The following is a 15,087-nucleotide window of genomic DNA, read 5'->3' as shown; positions in this document are numbered from 1 at the left end:
TCAATAAATATACACTAAATGAGCAAGTGGCTAAACGATTGGACAGAGGAGTCTTCAGTTCCTCCAGGACAAAGTTCCAGCTCTTAGGTCTGTCCCACGAGGCTCTTTACCATCAGGTCCTGCTCGCCTTTCCAGTCATCTCATCTCCTATCCCCTCAGTGTATCCTGTGCTGCAGCTCCACTAAGCCCATTGCACCTGCCGGCCCACAGACCATCGCCCATGCTGCTTCTCTGCTTGAAGTGCCCTTTTTCCATCGCCTTCCCTACATAACACCCAACTATTCCCTCCTCTTTGATTGCTGGCCCTGCCACATTCCAGTGGAGCTTATCCATAGTTCTGATCTCCTGCTTTACAAACCCCGTTATTATAATTCCTTGTCATATGCCTGTCGCTCCCATAGACAGTTCAACAGAGAGACTTAAGGGCTAAGATTCAGCCCCTTTATTTGGCTTCACAATCTCGATGTCTAACTCGACCTTGGCATACAGTTGGTGCTCAACACAGGCGTGAAGGCAGAAGCCTGCTGGCCAGAGTTCAAATCCTGGCTCGGCCACTTGATAGCTGTGAAGCCTTAGGCAGATTCTTTCTCCAACACTCAGTTTCCTGTAAAACAGGAGCAATGCTGCTCACTTCACAGTGCTACTGTGAAGACTAAGTGAGATCCCTGATGTAAAGAGCCTGGCACACAAAAAGCACTCAATCAACAGAATCTAAAAGCACGTGGGAGTGTTCACTCTCAGGGTCTAGACAACTGTTCACCTGTGTCCACCCAGTTCAAATGGAAGTCTGGGTGTGATGAGAACCCCAGTATCTGCACATAGCAGATACTTAATATGTATTTGCGAATGAATGGGTGATGTTCCCTGTCCTCCCTGTCCTTTGTCTCACTCTCCTCTCTGCCCTTAGCACCATATTCTCCATATCCAGCCCCATCTCTGTGGGTAATTTGAAATTAAAATCCCAAAGTTATTTTTCATAAGCGAGAACAATCACTCTTGAGTCTGCTGGCACAGCATCCTGACAGGGGGCTGGCAATGGCCGGTTCACAGTGAGCCCTGCCAGGGGACTGCGCACATGCTTCTAAGAATAACTCAGTGTCCAAGAATTCCGCCTGTTCTATCGCAAGCTGGGGCCGGCCGGCAGCTGGTTTGCATTAGCGTGGAGGGCGATGGCATTCCACTTTACTACAGTGAGGCTGCTGCCCCTCCCTCCCTCCCTCCCTCCCTCTGTTCCCACTTGGGGCTGTCATTGAGCAGGCAGAATCTTCATTTCGCAGCCTTGAAAGCACCAGGAAAGGGTCTGGTTAGAGGTAAACTGAAGAGCAGATGATGTTTGCCTTCTGGGTCCTTTGTCTCACATCTGGGTCATCACACTTCTATTTGGGCATTGTCCTAAGTCCCCAGTGATCTAAGTAATCCAAGGCCACAGGAATATCCCATCTAAACCTGCCTTTACAAAAGCAGTCTGTGCCTGCAATTAGTCCTGACCATTCATCCATTCATTCATTTCTACACAGAATTATTGACAACTAAACCTAAAGGGGGTTTAGGAAATCACTCAAGGAGGCAATTTGATCTATAGTGGTATTATTCCTCTAGGGAAATTTGGAAATGTCTGAGAGTATTTACTTTGGGGGTGTCAAGAAGAGAAAGAGCACTCCTGGCATTTACTGGGCAAAAACTAAGGATACAAAATATCCTGTCATGCACAGAACATTCCCACATGATAAAAAAAATTGTCCAGGAGAAGTATGTCAATAGTATCTCCCTTGAGAAGCGCAACTGGAGTGGAATGTGTCATCCTGTGTCCACCCATTCCTTTCTTACTCCATACCATATTGGGTATGAGCACTGGCTTCCTCATTCCTGGCTTCTACATATCTTATCATCAAATATTTGAAATAGATTTGTTTTGTGGTAAAGTGAGAAAAAAAGACCACGGCCATGGAGTCAAAAAGACCAGGGCAAATATTACGTTTCTGCAAATCTAGCTATGGAAACTTGACAGAGTTAATGCTTCTTGGAAGCCCACACTCCTCACCTGTACAATAGTACTCATGATATCTGTGTTACATGATGGTTATGAACATGGGCGCCATATTGCACAACTCCTGAAATTGAGTAACATGGTCCAGCAGTAAGAATTAAATAAGAACTTGCATAGCATGCTGGATGCATAGTGGGCATTAAGTATACTGTAGATGTTACATGTAAAGTGCCTTGTACTCTGCCTGGCATGCAACAGAGGCTCTATAAATTTCAATCCCATCCCCTTCTCCATTCTATCTCCTCCCTCCTCCCAAGATGTCATGTAACTCACTAAAGGTCCTCTATAATTCATTGATTAAGGGCTATATGGTTGGTTCCACGCTGGATTGTTGTGAGGGGACAGAAAGGGTACTTATGAAAAAGCCATGGTCCCTACTGTCATAGAACTTAAAAATTGAGGGTTCTAATAAGACCTATATGTATACATGTGTTTGTACAGATGAGTGTAAGATGGATACAAAAATATATTAAACTATAAAGATTTGCAGTCTACCTCCTCTGCATTCTACCTCCCGTTATTCCAAAAGGAAGTATCTCTTGATCATTTGGTTCATTACCAGGTCTTTATCGTGCTTACAGAGAAGGAAGATAAAAGGATGAGAGAAGCCAAATTGCTGTAAATAAGACAGGATAAAACAAGAGCGGGAAAGGAATAGGGAGGAGACATCATAGAAAGTGAGAAAGAATGAAGAAGAAAGAACAAAGAAAGAATGAGAAGTAGCTTTCTGGAGGAGTGGGACCTTGGGACTATAATCAGAGAAGCCCCATTGTGAGCCCCTGAGATATGGTTACAATCAACTAGAACTCCTCAAAGATTCTTCCCAAAGATTTCGCCAAAGTCTGGGTGCAGTCATTATGTCCAGCCTCTTGCTTTTCTTCGCCCATGCTTTCATATTCACACTCTGTCAACCCAGCTATAAAACCCAGCTCATTCTTCAATTCCCTGCAAAAAACCTGCCAGCTCAAGGCTCTTGTGAGAGTGTCAGACTTTCCTTGAGGTGTGGGGGAAGCAGAGAAAAGGAATGACATCAACAAAGCACAAGACAACTTCACAATGAATATCAGACACTCCCCCTTGTAAAGGCCCTTCGCCATGGGGAACTTGCTCTTCAGCTCTCAGAAGCCCCACCTCAGCTGATCTCACTGGTTCTTCCTTCTCCTCCCCACAACTCCTCCTCATCACCTCTCTTCTTTTCTCTTCTCCCCACTACTCCCCCACCAGAGGCAGATAACCAATGATTCTTTTTTCCCTCAGTCGGAGCAACTGAACCATCTCCCTTTGTTCCTCTGAGCCCACCAAAACCCATGCCTTTTGAGTTTTCTTGTACCCTCAATGGACAAATCAAGGTGTGTTTAGTCAAAGCTGTTCCCTCTTTTAAAATAATGAAGTTAGATAATAGACCTTTCACCTCATTTTTCCTATCTGCAACTTAAATAAGTCCAAATTGTTGAGAGAAATAAAACATGATGGAAATTCAGCGTGCTAGTTGGGGAGGATTTCCTAGACAAGGTTGACTTTAGGCCCTTGAAGGATAGATGGGATTTGGACAGAATTTGAGAGGGAACCCAGTGGTATCACAACATAAATAAAAGTGTGGAGGCTGAATTGGCACAGAACCTACAAGGGAGAGTGAAGGTCTTGTTCTAGCTGAAGCCAATGACACACTGGCTAGTAGTAGAGGATAAAAATATGAGAGTTAAGGTAGGATTGTGCATGGAAGATTCTTGAGTGTGCCAGCTAGGAACCTGACCAAAACCTGATCTCACCTTTGGGATAAGCCAAACCATTTTTCAGGTTTTCTTTCTTTCCTTCTTTCTTTCTTCAAGAAAACCATATCAATGATTTTTTAGCTACATGTAAAAGTTAATTTTATGTGTCAACCTGACTGGGTCATGAGGTGCCCCTATAAACATTATTTAAACATTATTATTTAATACTAAATTTTAACATTATTAGTTAAGCGTTATTTCTATGTGCCTGTGACGGTGTTTCAGGAAGAGGTTCATATTTGGATTGGCATATTTGGATTGGCAGAATATACAGTTCATATTTGGATTGGTAAAGCAGATCTGCCCTCCCCAGTGTGGCCGGGCATCATCCAATCTGTAGAAGGCCTGAATAGGACAAAGAGATCAGGGATGAGCAAATTCTCTCTCTCCTTTAACAGGGACATCTATCTTCTCCTGCTTTCTCACACCAAGCTCTTTGGCCTTCAGAGTCCAGGACTTATATCAACACACCCTCCTACCCTCTAAGTTCTCAGGCCTTCAAACTTGGATTGAATTACCCCACTAGTTTTCCTGGATCTCCAGCTTGCAAATATCATACGGTGGAACTTCTCAGCCTTCATAACCATGTGAACCAATTCCCATAATTAATAAAATCAATCAGGTGGAGCCAAGATGGCCGAATAGGAACAGCTCCAGTCTACAGCTCCCAGCATGAGCGACGCAGAAGATGAAAGATTTCTGCATTTCCAACTGAGGTACCGGGTTCATCTCACTGGAGATTGTCAGACAGTGGGTGCAGGACAGTGGATGCAGTGCACCAAGCGTGAGCCAAAGCAGGGCAAGGCATCGCCTCACCCAGGAAGCACAAGGGGTCAGGGAATTCCCTTTCCTAGCCAAGGAAAGGAGTGACAGACATCACCTGGAAAATCAGGCCACTCCCACCCTAACACTGTGCTTTTCTGATGGTCTTAGCAAATGGCACACCAGGAGATTGTATCCTGCACCTGCCTCAGAGCGTCCTGTGCCCACGGAGCCTCGCTCATTGCTAGCACAGCAGTCTGCGATCAAACTGCAAGGCGGCAGTGAGGCTGGGGGAGGGGCGCCCGCCATTGCCGAGGCTTGAGTAGGTAAACAAAGTGGCTGGGAAGCCCAAACTGGGTGGAGCCCACCGCAGCTCAAGGAGGCCTGCCTGCCTCTGTAGACTTCACCTCTGGGGACAGGTCATAGCCAAACAAAAGGCAGCAGAAACCTCTGCAGACTTAAATGTCCCTGTCTGACAGCTTGGAAGACAGTAGTGGTTCTCCAAGCATGCAGCTGGAGATCTGAGAATGGACAGACTGCCTCCTCAAGTGGGTCCCTGACCCCGGAGTAGCCTAACTGGGAGGCACCCCCTAGTAGGGGCAGACTGACACCTCACATGGCCGGGTACTCCTCTGAGACAAAACCTCCAGAGAAACGATCAGGCAGCAACATCTGCTGTTCACCAATATCTGCTGTTCTGCAGCCTCCACTGCTGATACCCAGGCAAACAGGGTCTGGAGTGGACCTCCAGCAAACCCCAACAGACCTGCAGCTGAGGATCCTGACTGTTAGAAGGAAAACTAACAAACAGAAAGGACATCCACACCAAAAACCCATCTGTACGTCACCATCATCAAAGACCAAAGGTAGATAAAACCACAAAGATGGGGAAAAAACATAGCAGAAAAACTGAAAATTCTCAAAATCAGAGCACCTCTCCTCCTCCAAAGGAACGCAGCTCCTCACCAGCAACAGAACAAAGCTGGACGGAGAATGACTTTGACGAGTTGAGAGAAGAAAGCTTCAGATGATCAAACTACTCCGAGCTAAAGGAGGAAGTTCGAACCCATGGCAAAGAAGTTAAAAACCTTGAAAAAAGATGAGACGAATGGATAACGAGAATAACCAATGCAGAGAAGTCCTCAAAGGACCTGATGGAGCTGAAAACCAAGGCACGAGAACTACGTGAAGAATGCAGAAGCCTCAGCAGCCAATTCGACCAACTAGAAGAAAGGGTATCAGTGATGGAAGATCAACTAAATGAAATGAAACGAGGAGAGAAGTTTGGAGAAAAAAGAATAAAAAGAAATGAACAAAGCCTCCAAGAAATATGGGACTATGTGAAAAGACCAAATCTACATCTGACTGGTGTACCTGAAAGTGACGGGGAGAATGGAACCAAGCTGGAAAACACTCTGCAGGATATTATCCAGGAGAACTTCCCCAATCTAGCAAGGCAGGCCAACGTTCAGATTCAGGAAATACAGAGAACACCACAAAGATACTTCTCAAGAAGAGCAACTCTAAGACACATAATTGTCAGATTTACCAAAGTTGAAATGAAGGAAAAACTGTTAAGGGAAGCCAGAGAGAAAGGTTGGGTTACCCACAAAGGGAAGCTCATCAGACTAACAGATGATCTCTTGGCAGAAACTCTACAAGCCAGAAGACAGTGGGGGCCAATATTCAACACTGTTAAAGCAAAGAATTTTCAATCCAGAACTTCATATCCAGCCAAACTAAGCTTCATAAGTGAAGGAGAAATATAATACTTTACAGACAAGCAAATGCTGAGAGATTTTGTCACCACCAGGCCTGCCCTAAAAGAGCTCCTGAAGGAAGTGCTAAACATAGAAAGGAACAACTGGTACCAGCCACTGCAAAAACATGCCAAATTGTAAAGACCATCGAGGCTAGGAAGAAACTGCATCAACTAACGAGCAAAATAACCAGCTAACATCATAATGACAGGATCAAATTCACACATAACAATATTAACCTTAAATGTAAATGGGCTAAATGCTCCAAATAAAAGACACAGACTGGCAAACTGGATAAAAAGTCAAGACCCATCAGTGTGCTGTATTCAAGAAACCCATCTCACATGCAGAGACACACATAGGCTCAAAATAAAGGGATGGAGGAAGATCTACCACGCAAATGGAAAACAGAAAAAGGCAGGGGTTGCAATCCTAGTCTCTGATAAAACAGACTTTAAACCAACAAAGATCAAAAGAGACAAAGAAGGCCATTACATAATGGTAAAGGGATCAATTCAACAAGAAGAGCTAACTATCCTAAATATATAGGCACCCAATACAGGAGCACCCAGATTCATAAAACAAGTCCTTAGAGACCTAGAAAGAGACTTAGACTCCCACACAATAATAATGGGAGACTTTAACACCCCACTGTCAACATTAGACAGATTGAGACAGAAAGTTAACAAGGATATCCAGGAATTGAACTCAGCTCTGCACCAAGCAGACCTAATAGACATCTGCAGAACTCTCCACCCCAAATCAACAGAATATACATTCTTTTCAGCACCACACCACACCTATTCCAAAACTGACCACATAGTTGGAAGTAAAGCACTCCTCAGCAAATGTAAAAGAACAGAAATTATAATAAACTGTCTCTCAGACCACAGTGCAATCAAACTAGAACTCAGGATTAACAGTGCAATCAAACTAGAACTCACTCAAAACCGCTCAACTACATGGAAACTGAACAACCTGCTCCTCAATGACTACTGGGTACATAACGAAATGAAGACAGAAATAAAGATGTTCTTTGAAACCAATGAGAACAAAGACACAACATACCAGAATCTCTGGGACACATTCAAAGCAGTGTGTAGAGGGAAATTTATAGCACCAAATGCCCACAAGAGAAAGCAGGAAAGATCTAAAATTGACACCCTAACATCACAATTAAAAGAACTAGAGAAGCAAGACCAAACACATTCAAAAGCTAGCAGAAGGCAAGAAATACCTAAGATCAGAGCAGAACTGAAGGAAATAGAGACACAAAACACCCTTCAAAAAATCAATGAATCCAGGAGCTGGTTTTTTGAAAAGATCAGCACAATTGATAGACCGCTAGCAAGACTAATAAAGAAGAAAAGAGAGAAGAATCAACTAGATGCAATAAAAAATCATAAAGGGGTATCACCACTGATCCCCCAGAAATACAAACTACCATCAGAGAATACTATAAACACCTCTACGCAAATAAACTAGAAAATCTGGAGGAAATGGATAAATTCCTCAACACATACACCCTCCCAAGACTAAACCAGGAAGAAGTTGAATCTCTGAATAGACCAATAACAGCCTCTGAAATTGAGGCAATAATCAATAGCTTACCAACCAAAAAAAGTCCAGGACCAGATGGATTCACAGCCGAATTCTACCAGAGGTACAAGGAGGAGCTGGTACCATTCCTTCTGAAACTATTCCAATCAATAGAAAAAGAGAGAATCCTCCCTAACTCATTTGATGAGGCCAGCATCATCCTGATACCAAAGCCAGGCAGAGACACAACCAAAAAAGAGAATTTTAGACCAATATCCTTGATGAACATTGATGCAAAAATTCTCAATAAAATACTGGCAAACCGAATCCAGCAGCACACTAAAAGCATGTCCACCATGATCAAGTGGGCTTCATCCCTGGGATGCAAGGCTGGTTCAACATTCACAAATCAATAAATGTAATCCAGCATGTAAACAGAACCAAAGACAAAAACCACATGATTATCTCAATAGATGCAGAAAAGGCCTTTGACAAAATTCAACAACGCCTCATGCTAAAAACTCTCAATAAATTAGGTATTGATGGGACATATCTCAAAATAATAAGAGCTATCTATGACAAACCCACAGCCAATATCATACTGAATGGGCAAAAACTGGAAGCATTCCCTTTGAAAACTGGCACAAGACAGGGATGCCCTCTCTCACCACTCCTATTCAACATAGTGTTGGAAGTTCTGGCCAGGGCAATCAGGCAGGAGAAAGAAATAAAGGGTATTCAATTAGGAAAAGAGGAAGTCAAATTGTCCCTGTTTGCAGATGAAATGATTGTATATCTAGAAAATCCCATCGTCTCAGCCCAAAATCTCCTTAAGCTGATAAGCAACTTCAGAAAAGTCTCAGGACACAAAATCAATGTGCAAAAATCACAGGCATTCTTATACACCAATAACAGACAAAATCATGAGTGAACTCCCATTCACAATTGCTTCAAAGAGAGTAACATACCTAGGAATCCAACTTACTAGGGATGTGAAGGACCTCTTCAAGGAGAACTACAAACCACTGCTCAACGAAATAAAAGAGGATACAAACAAACGGAAGAATATTCCATGCTCATGGGTAGGAAGAATCAATATCGTGAAAATGGCCATACTGCCCAAGGTAATTTATAGATTCAATGCCATCCCCATCAAGCTACCAATGACTTTCTTCACAGAATTGGAAAAAACTACTTTAAAGTTCATATGGAACCAAAAAAGAGCCCGCATCGCCAAGTCAATCCTAAGCCAAAAGAACAAAGCTGGAGGCATCATGCTACCTGACTTCAAACTATACTACAAGGCTACAGTAACCAAAATAGCATGGTACTGGCACCAAAACAGAGATATAGAACAATGGAACAGAACAGAGCCCTCAGAAATAATGCCACAGATCTACAATTATCTGATCTTTGACAAACCTGACAAAAACAAGAAATGGGGAAAGGATTCCCTATTAATAAATGGTGCTGGGAAAACTGGCTAGCCATATGCAGAAAGCTGAAACTGGATCCCTTCCTTACACCTTATACAAAAATTAATTCAAGATGGATTAAAGACTTAAATCTTAGACCTAAAACCATAAAAACCCTAGAAGAACACCTAGGCAATCCCATTCAGGACATAGGCATGGGCAAGGACTTCATGTCTAAAACACCAAAAGCAATGGCAACAAAAGCCAAAATACACAAATGGGATCTAATTAAACTAAAGAGCTTCTGCACAGCAAAAGAAACTACCATCAGAGTGAACAGGCAACCTACAGAATGGGAGAAAATTTTTGCAATCTACTCATCTGACAAAGGGCTAACAGCCAGAATCTGCAATGAACCCAAACAAATTTACAAGAAAAAAACAAACAACCCCATCAAAAAGTGGGCGAAGGATATGAACAGACACTTCTCAAAAGAAGACATTTATGCAGCCAAAAGACACATGAAAAAATGCTCATCATCACTGGCCATCAGAGAAATGCAAATCAAAACCACAATGAGATACCATCTCACACCAGTTAGAGTGGCAATCATTAAAAAGTCAGGAAACAACAGGTGCTGGAGAGGATGTGGAGAAATAGGAACACTTTTACACTGTTGGTAGGACTGTAAACTAGTTCAACCATTGTGGAAGTCAGTGTGGTGATTCCTCAGGAATCTAGAACTAGAAATACCATTTGACCCAGCCATCCCATTACTGGGTATATACCCAAAGGATTATAAATCATGCTGCTATAAAGACACATGCACACATACGTTTATTGCAGCACTATTCACAATAGCAAAGACTTGGAACCAACCCAAATGTCCAACAATGATAGACTGGATTAAGAAAATGTGGCACGTATAAACCATGGAATACTAGGCAGCCATAAAAATGATGAGTTCATGTCCTTTGTAGGGACATGGATGAAACTGGAAACCATCATTCTCAGCAAACTATCACAAGGACAAAAAAACCAAACACTGCCTGTTCTCATTCATGGGTGGGAATTGAACAATGAAAACACATGGACACAGGAAGGAGAACATCACCCAGGCCTGTTGTGGGGTGGGGGGAGGGGGGAGGGATAGCATTAGGAGATATACCTAATGTTAAATGACGAGTTAATGGGTGCAGCACACGAACATGGCACATGTATACTTACGTAACAAACCTGCAAGTTGTGCACATGTACCCTAAAACTTAAAGTATAAGAATAAAAAAAAGAATTACCCATAGTATAATTAGTTTATAAAATTCTTACCAGAATTTTTTCCTCAGTGAAATTACAAGTTAATTAATTTACAAATGTCTTACCAGAGATGGATTCATGAATTCTTCTAAATACACCCGACACAGTTTGCAATCCCCGTCATCTGTGATGTGGCCTCCATACATGATCTCATCAAAGAGATAACGGACATCTTCCCACGGGACCTGTGGAGAAAACCACACAAATATTCACTGCTGGGTGCAGAGTCTGCCTCAGAGTAGCCAACCAGTGGCACGTGCCCCTCTAACACAATGCCCTCCAAGCCTCCGTCAATAGGAGGATTTAAAGGTGGTTCAGAAATTGTCTAAGTTTCTGCAGAGAATTTCTTGGCAGAATTATTTTCAGTGTCTTCTAATATAGTCAGTGAAAATTCACTAACATTGAGCTGTTTATGAAGTTTTTTTCTTTAAGAGATGAGGTCTGGCTTTGTTGCCTAAGCTGGAGTGCAGTAGCACAATTACAGCTCACTGAAACCTTGAACTCTGGGGCCCCAGCAATCCTCTCGCCTCCGCCTCTCAAGCAACTAGAACTACAGGCACAGAGCACTACATCTGGCAAATTTTTAAAAAATTTTGTAGAGACGGGGGTCTCACTATGGTGTCCAGGTTGGTCTCGAATTCCTGGCCTCAAGCCATCCTTCCTCCTTGGCCTCTCAAAGTACTGGGATTTACAGGCTTGAGCTGCCACGCCCAGCCTTACACAGATTTTAAAAGAAACTGAGTCATCCCTAGAACATGTTTGCAGGGAAAGTTTATACATTCAAAATCTCATCTAAAAATTGTGAAAGGATGTTGGTTCACAAGGCCTTTGAAGTATGACGTTTTTATTATCTGCTTTATATCAACTTGTATTATCTGATTCAGGAAAAGAAAGCAACACCCACACAATTTGAATTTGGGGTGTAATTAGAATCCTAGTATTTTCCAAAAGTCCAGGCAAACAAATCCCCTTGCCACAGATGGAGCTGAGGGCTTGACTTATGGCATGACTGGCCTAATGACTGTTCTAAGGGTTGTAACTAATGACTATACCATGCTTTATTCAAGAAAAAAATAAAATAAAATCAATCAATAAGTAAATCTATTGATTCTGTTTCTCTGGAGAACACTAACTAGTACAATATGCAAAAGTAAAGCAAGAACATCTGGAGAAAGTCAGGAATCCGATAGATTAAATACATCTAATTTAGACAAACAAGCTCAATACCTGTTTGGTTATGCTCAGAGCCTCCTAAAGCTATGTCTCTGTGAACACTATTGCCTTTGGGGGTAAAAAAGTTTCTTTTCTGTGAGGATTTCATCGACTACCATAGCTAAACATTTTTTTATTCTTTCAGAGTTGGGTATGTTCCATTTCAAAAGATAGTTTGCAGGAGGATCAGAAATCAAATAGACAGGTGCTTGGAAGGAAATGTTAAAGGTCCCCATCTGTTCCCCTCACAGAGGACGAGACAAGGAAGAGAAGCAGGACTGCGTTTGGTGCATCTCAGCATGGACCTGTTGCTGCTATACCACTGTGCTGTTATTTAAGACTGAAAAACACACATTTTGGGAAATGGATTGCTATATGGACTTATATATTATGTATTAGTGACTTTGTGACTTACGTATTAGTGACCTTGATCTACTGAAGGCTAAAGAGTAAAGTTGTGTGTAGCGACAAGAAGCAGGTCTTCCCTGAAGGGAATGAATATTCGTATTTTTAACTATGCTGGGACGAAGTAGGTGCTGAGATAGGAAATTAAAGCCTTAGCCCGGGATGAGTGAGGCATGACTTACTCCTTCATGTCTCTGAGCCCTGCGCTCACTGGGACCTGGACATAGAGACACAGACACACTAGAGGACGCTTCTGTTGGAGCAGATGAGATGGACAAGAGTAAGAGAGAACCCTTCAGAGAGCCCCAGGAAAGGAACCTCTGAGCCCAATTCTATCTGGTAGTAAGTGTAGGTTTCTCTCATCCTTGTAGTTCTCTCCCAAAATATCCAGTAGAACCCTGTCAAAAAACTCAGCCCAATCTTTGCCATTACTATAGGAAACAGGACGGTCCTGGATTCTATACAGGAAGGAATGGCAGCAGCTTCAAAAAGAGCTTTCCTGTGTCAGCTGAAAGTCAACCAGGGGCAAGCAGCAGCACATGGAAAGAAGACAGCAGCAGTCCTGGAGCCAGCAGAGGCAGGCAGCAACTAGATGGGTGTGTGGAATGGGCAAGGATTCCCACAGGGATGCCCAGACTCACCTGGGGAGGGAAACCTGCAGGAGCTGCAGTCATCGTGGCAGGTATTTCAAAGGAAGGATGACCTCAGACATGGGTGCATTCTGACATTTGGGCTCCTCAGAGAAAAGGAGATGACTGTCATTCACCACCTCAATTTGCAATTTTGAGGTTCATCAAAAAAAGCTTTATTGTTCCCACAGCCTGGCTTCACAGTGCTTAATGTAATATAGCATTGAACTTGAAAAACACATTATTCCTAAAAAATACTGCTAGTATTCCTTTATTTTAATATTTGAAGGCTCCTCATAAAAAGTGTGTGGCTGCTGGAACATGGAAAGCAGTCAATGTATTTTGTCTGAATGGTTTAACAATGAACTGATGAAATGGCTCAGCAGTAGAAATGGGACATAAATTGGTCCAATAAGAGATAATCCTAGAAGTACTGCTGGTGTGATCAAGAAAGAGTCATTCATTTGTGAGAACATAAACCTAGAGCTGCCAGTGACCACCTCAACAGTAAACCCCCACACATCCTAAAAATGAATTCAATGCCAAGGAAGGCAGAGGCAGAGAGAGAAGCAACTTCCTGATAAAATCATGTTAAACACCTGGATCCAGCCATGACTAAAGTCAGTAACCCTGAACTTTTTACCATTAGATGTGTATCATTAGGACTCTTAATTATCAGAACACAGGCGTGCTTGTTGACCTAGGAAAAAATGGTGGTGGCTGTGTTGTACTCTTCTCAAACACTTTTCCTTAAAAGAAAGCAAGAAGAAACATTAGCACAACAATGATTTTCTGAAAGTCTGAGGGAACAACTCAAACCTTGTGGAACAAGTGCAGATTCAACAGGGCTATGGCCCTGTGCCCACAATCTGTCTCACTTCCATCACTGTGTTTTTTCAAAGAATGTGCAGAACTTCAGGATTTCTCCTCATGGCCGAGCATGGCATAAGAAGAAAGAGCACTGAACTCACTGCCAAAGGATCTGGGTCATAGGTCCTACTCTGTCATGGATGAGGACCATGGAACCGTTCATGTGTAGGGCCAGCATCTACCACCCACAGGCCATGTACAGATTCTGTGATGACTGGGTTCTTTTTGGGTTTTTTGTTGTTGTTGTTGTTGTTGTTCTGTTTTGTTTCGTTTTTGAAATGGAGTCTCGCTGTGTCACCAGGCTGGAGTGCAGTGGTGTGATCTCGGCTCACTGCAACCTTCACCTCCCAGGTTCAAACGATTCTCCTGCCTCAGCCTCCTGAGTAGCTGGGACTACAGGTGCATGCCACCACGTCCAGCTAATTTTTGTATTTTTAGTAGACACAGGGTTTCACCATGTTGACCAGGAAGGTCTCAATCTCTTGACCTCGTGATCCACCTGCCTTGGCCTCCCAAAGTGCTGGGATTACAGGCGTGAGCCACCACACCTGGCCTGACTGGGTTCTTGTAACTCATCTTGCTGAAAGTGACCAAAACATAGATGAACTAATTTAAGCCAAAGGGAGGACAAGGACATTTATGGACTCTGTGAATCTTCAGAAGTTTCCAGAAAGTCCAAGTTGCATGTAGCAAATGAGTGGATTTAGTAAGGGAAATGCTTCAGTAATTTCTTAAAAATCTAGAGAGCTTTAGAGAATGAAAGTTCTCTAAGCTATGGTCTTAAACATCAAGAGATGAACAACTCTTCACAAAACAGCATGTCTCATCCACACACACTTTCACTCACCTCTCCCTCCTGTACCCTGGGCTCCATGGTCTCTGCAGCCTGGACTGGGAAGGAGGAGTATAGAGGCCTCTTTGAGCAAAACATAGCCCAGGAGATATGGTCCAACCTCCTTTTGGATAGAAGTTTGAAATACAATGTTGGAGTCAGATTGTCAAGGAAGTTTGCTTTCATCTTACTTGAAATGAGGAATCATTAAGGGCAGACAATATTCATTCAACAATATGTGTTAAGTGCATAGCATGTACAAGGCCCTGTACTAAAGAAAAAAATAATAAATAATGTACAGCCCCTGATCTCAAGAGACAGGCAGTTGAAAAACAAATCTAGAAGCATCTAGAGAATCACTATCCAACAGAAATATAATGTGAACCACAAATGTAACTTTAAATTTTCTAGTAGCCACATTACAAAAAATAAAAAGAGATAGGTGAATTTCACTGAAGAATATATTTTATTTAACCCAATACAGTACATTGAAAATATTATTTTAACATGCAATTACTATAAGAAAAGTA

At 42.5% G+C, this 15,087-nt stretch overlaps 1 long non-coding RNA gene across 3 annotated transcripts in view; it reads right to left on the bottom strand.

The window, feature by feature from the left end:
* The window catches only part of LOC105369958 (uncharacterized), a 60,334-nt gene that overhangs the window by 25,586 nt on the left and 19,661 nt on the right, over positions 1-15,087 (bottom strand). The window contains exons 2-4 of one of the 3 annotated variants that reach the window (XR_001749300.2): positions 14,573-14,681; positions 12,868-12,962; positions 10,675-10,794 (exon numbers count right to left, since the gene is read on the bottom strand). This is a non-coding gene — a long non-coding RNA (uncharacterized LOC105369958). Of the gene's footprint in view, positions 1-10,674; positions 10,795-12,867; positions 14,682-15,087 lie in introns of those variants that run through there. The other 2 variants (XR_007063438.1, XR_945305.2) reach the window with 2 other exon arrangements.

The sequence above is a fragment of the Homo sapiens genome, chromosome 12 (genome assembly GCF_000001405.40).
Source record: "Homo sapiens chromosome 12, GRCh38.p14 Primary Assembly".
NCBI classification, from domain to species: Eukaryota; Metazoa; Chordata; class Mammalia; order Primates; family Hominidae; genus Homo; species Homo sapiens.
The sequence above is the reverse complement of the archived record's forward strand: the minus strand, read 5'-3'. Positions and strand labels throughout refer to the sequence as shown.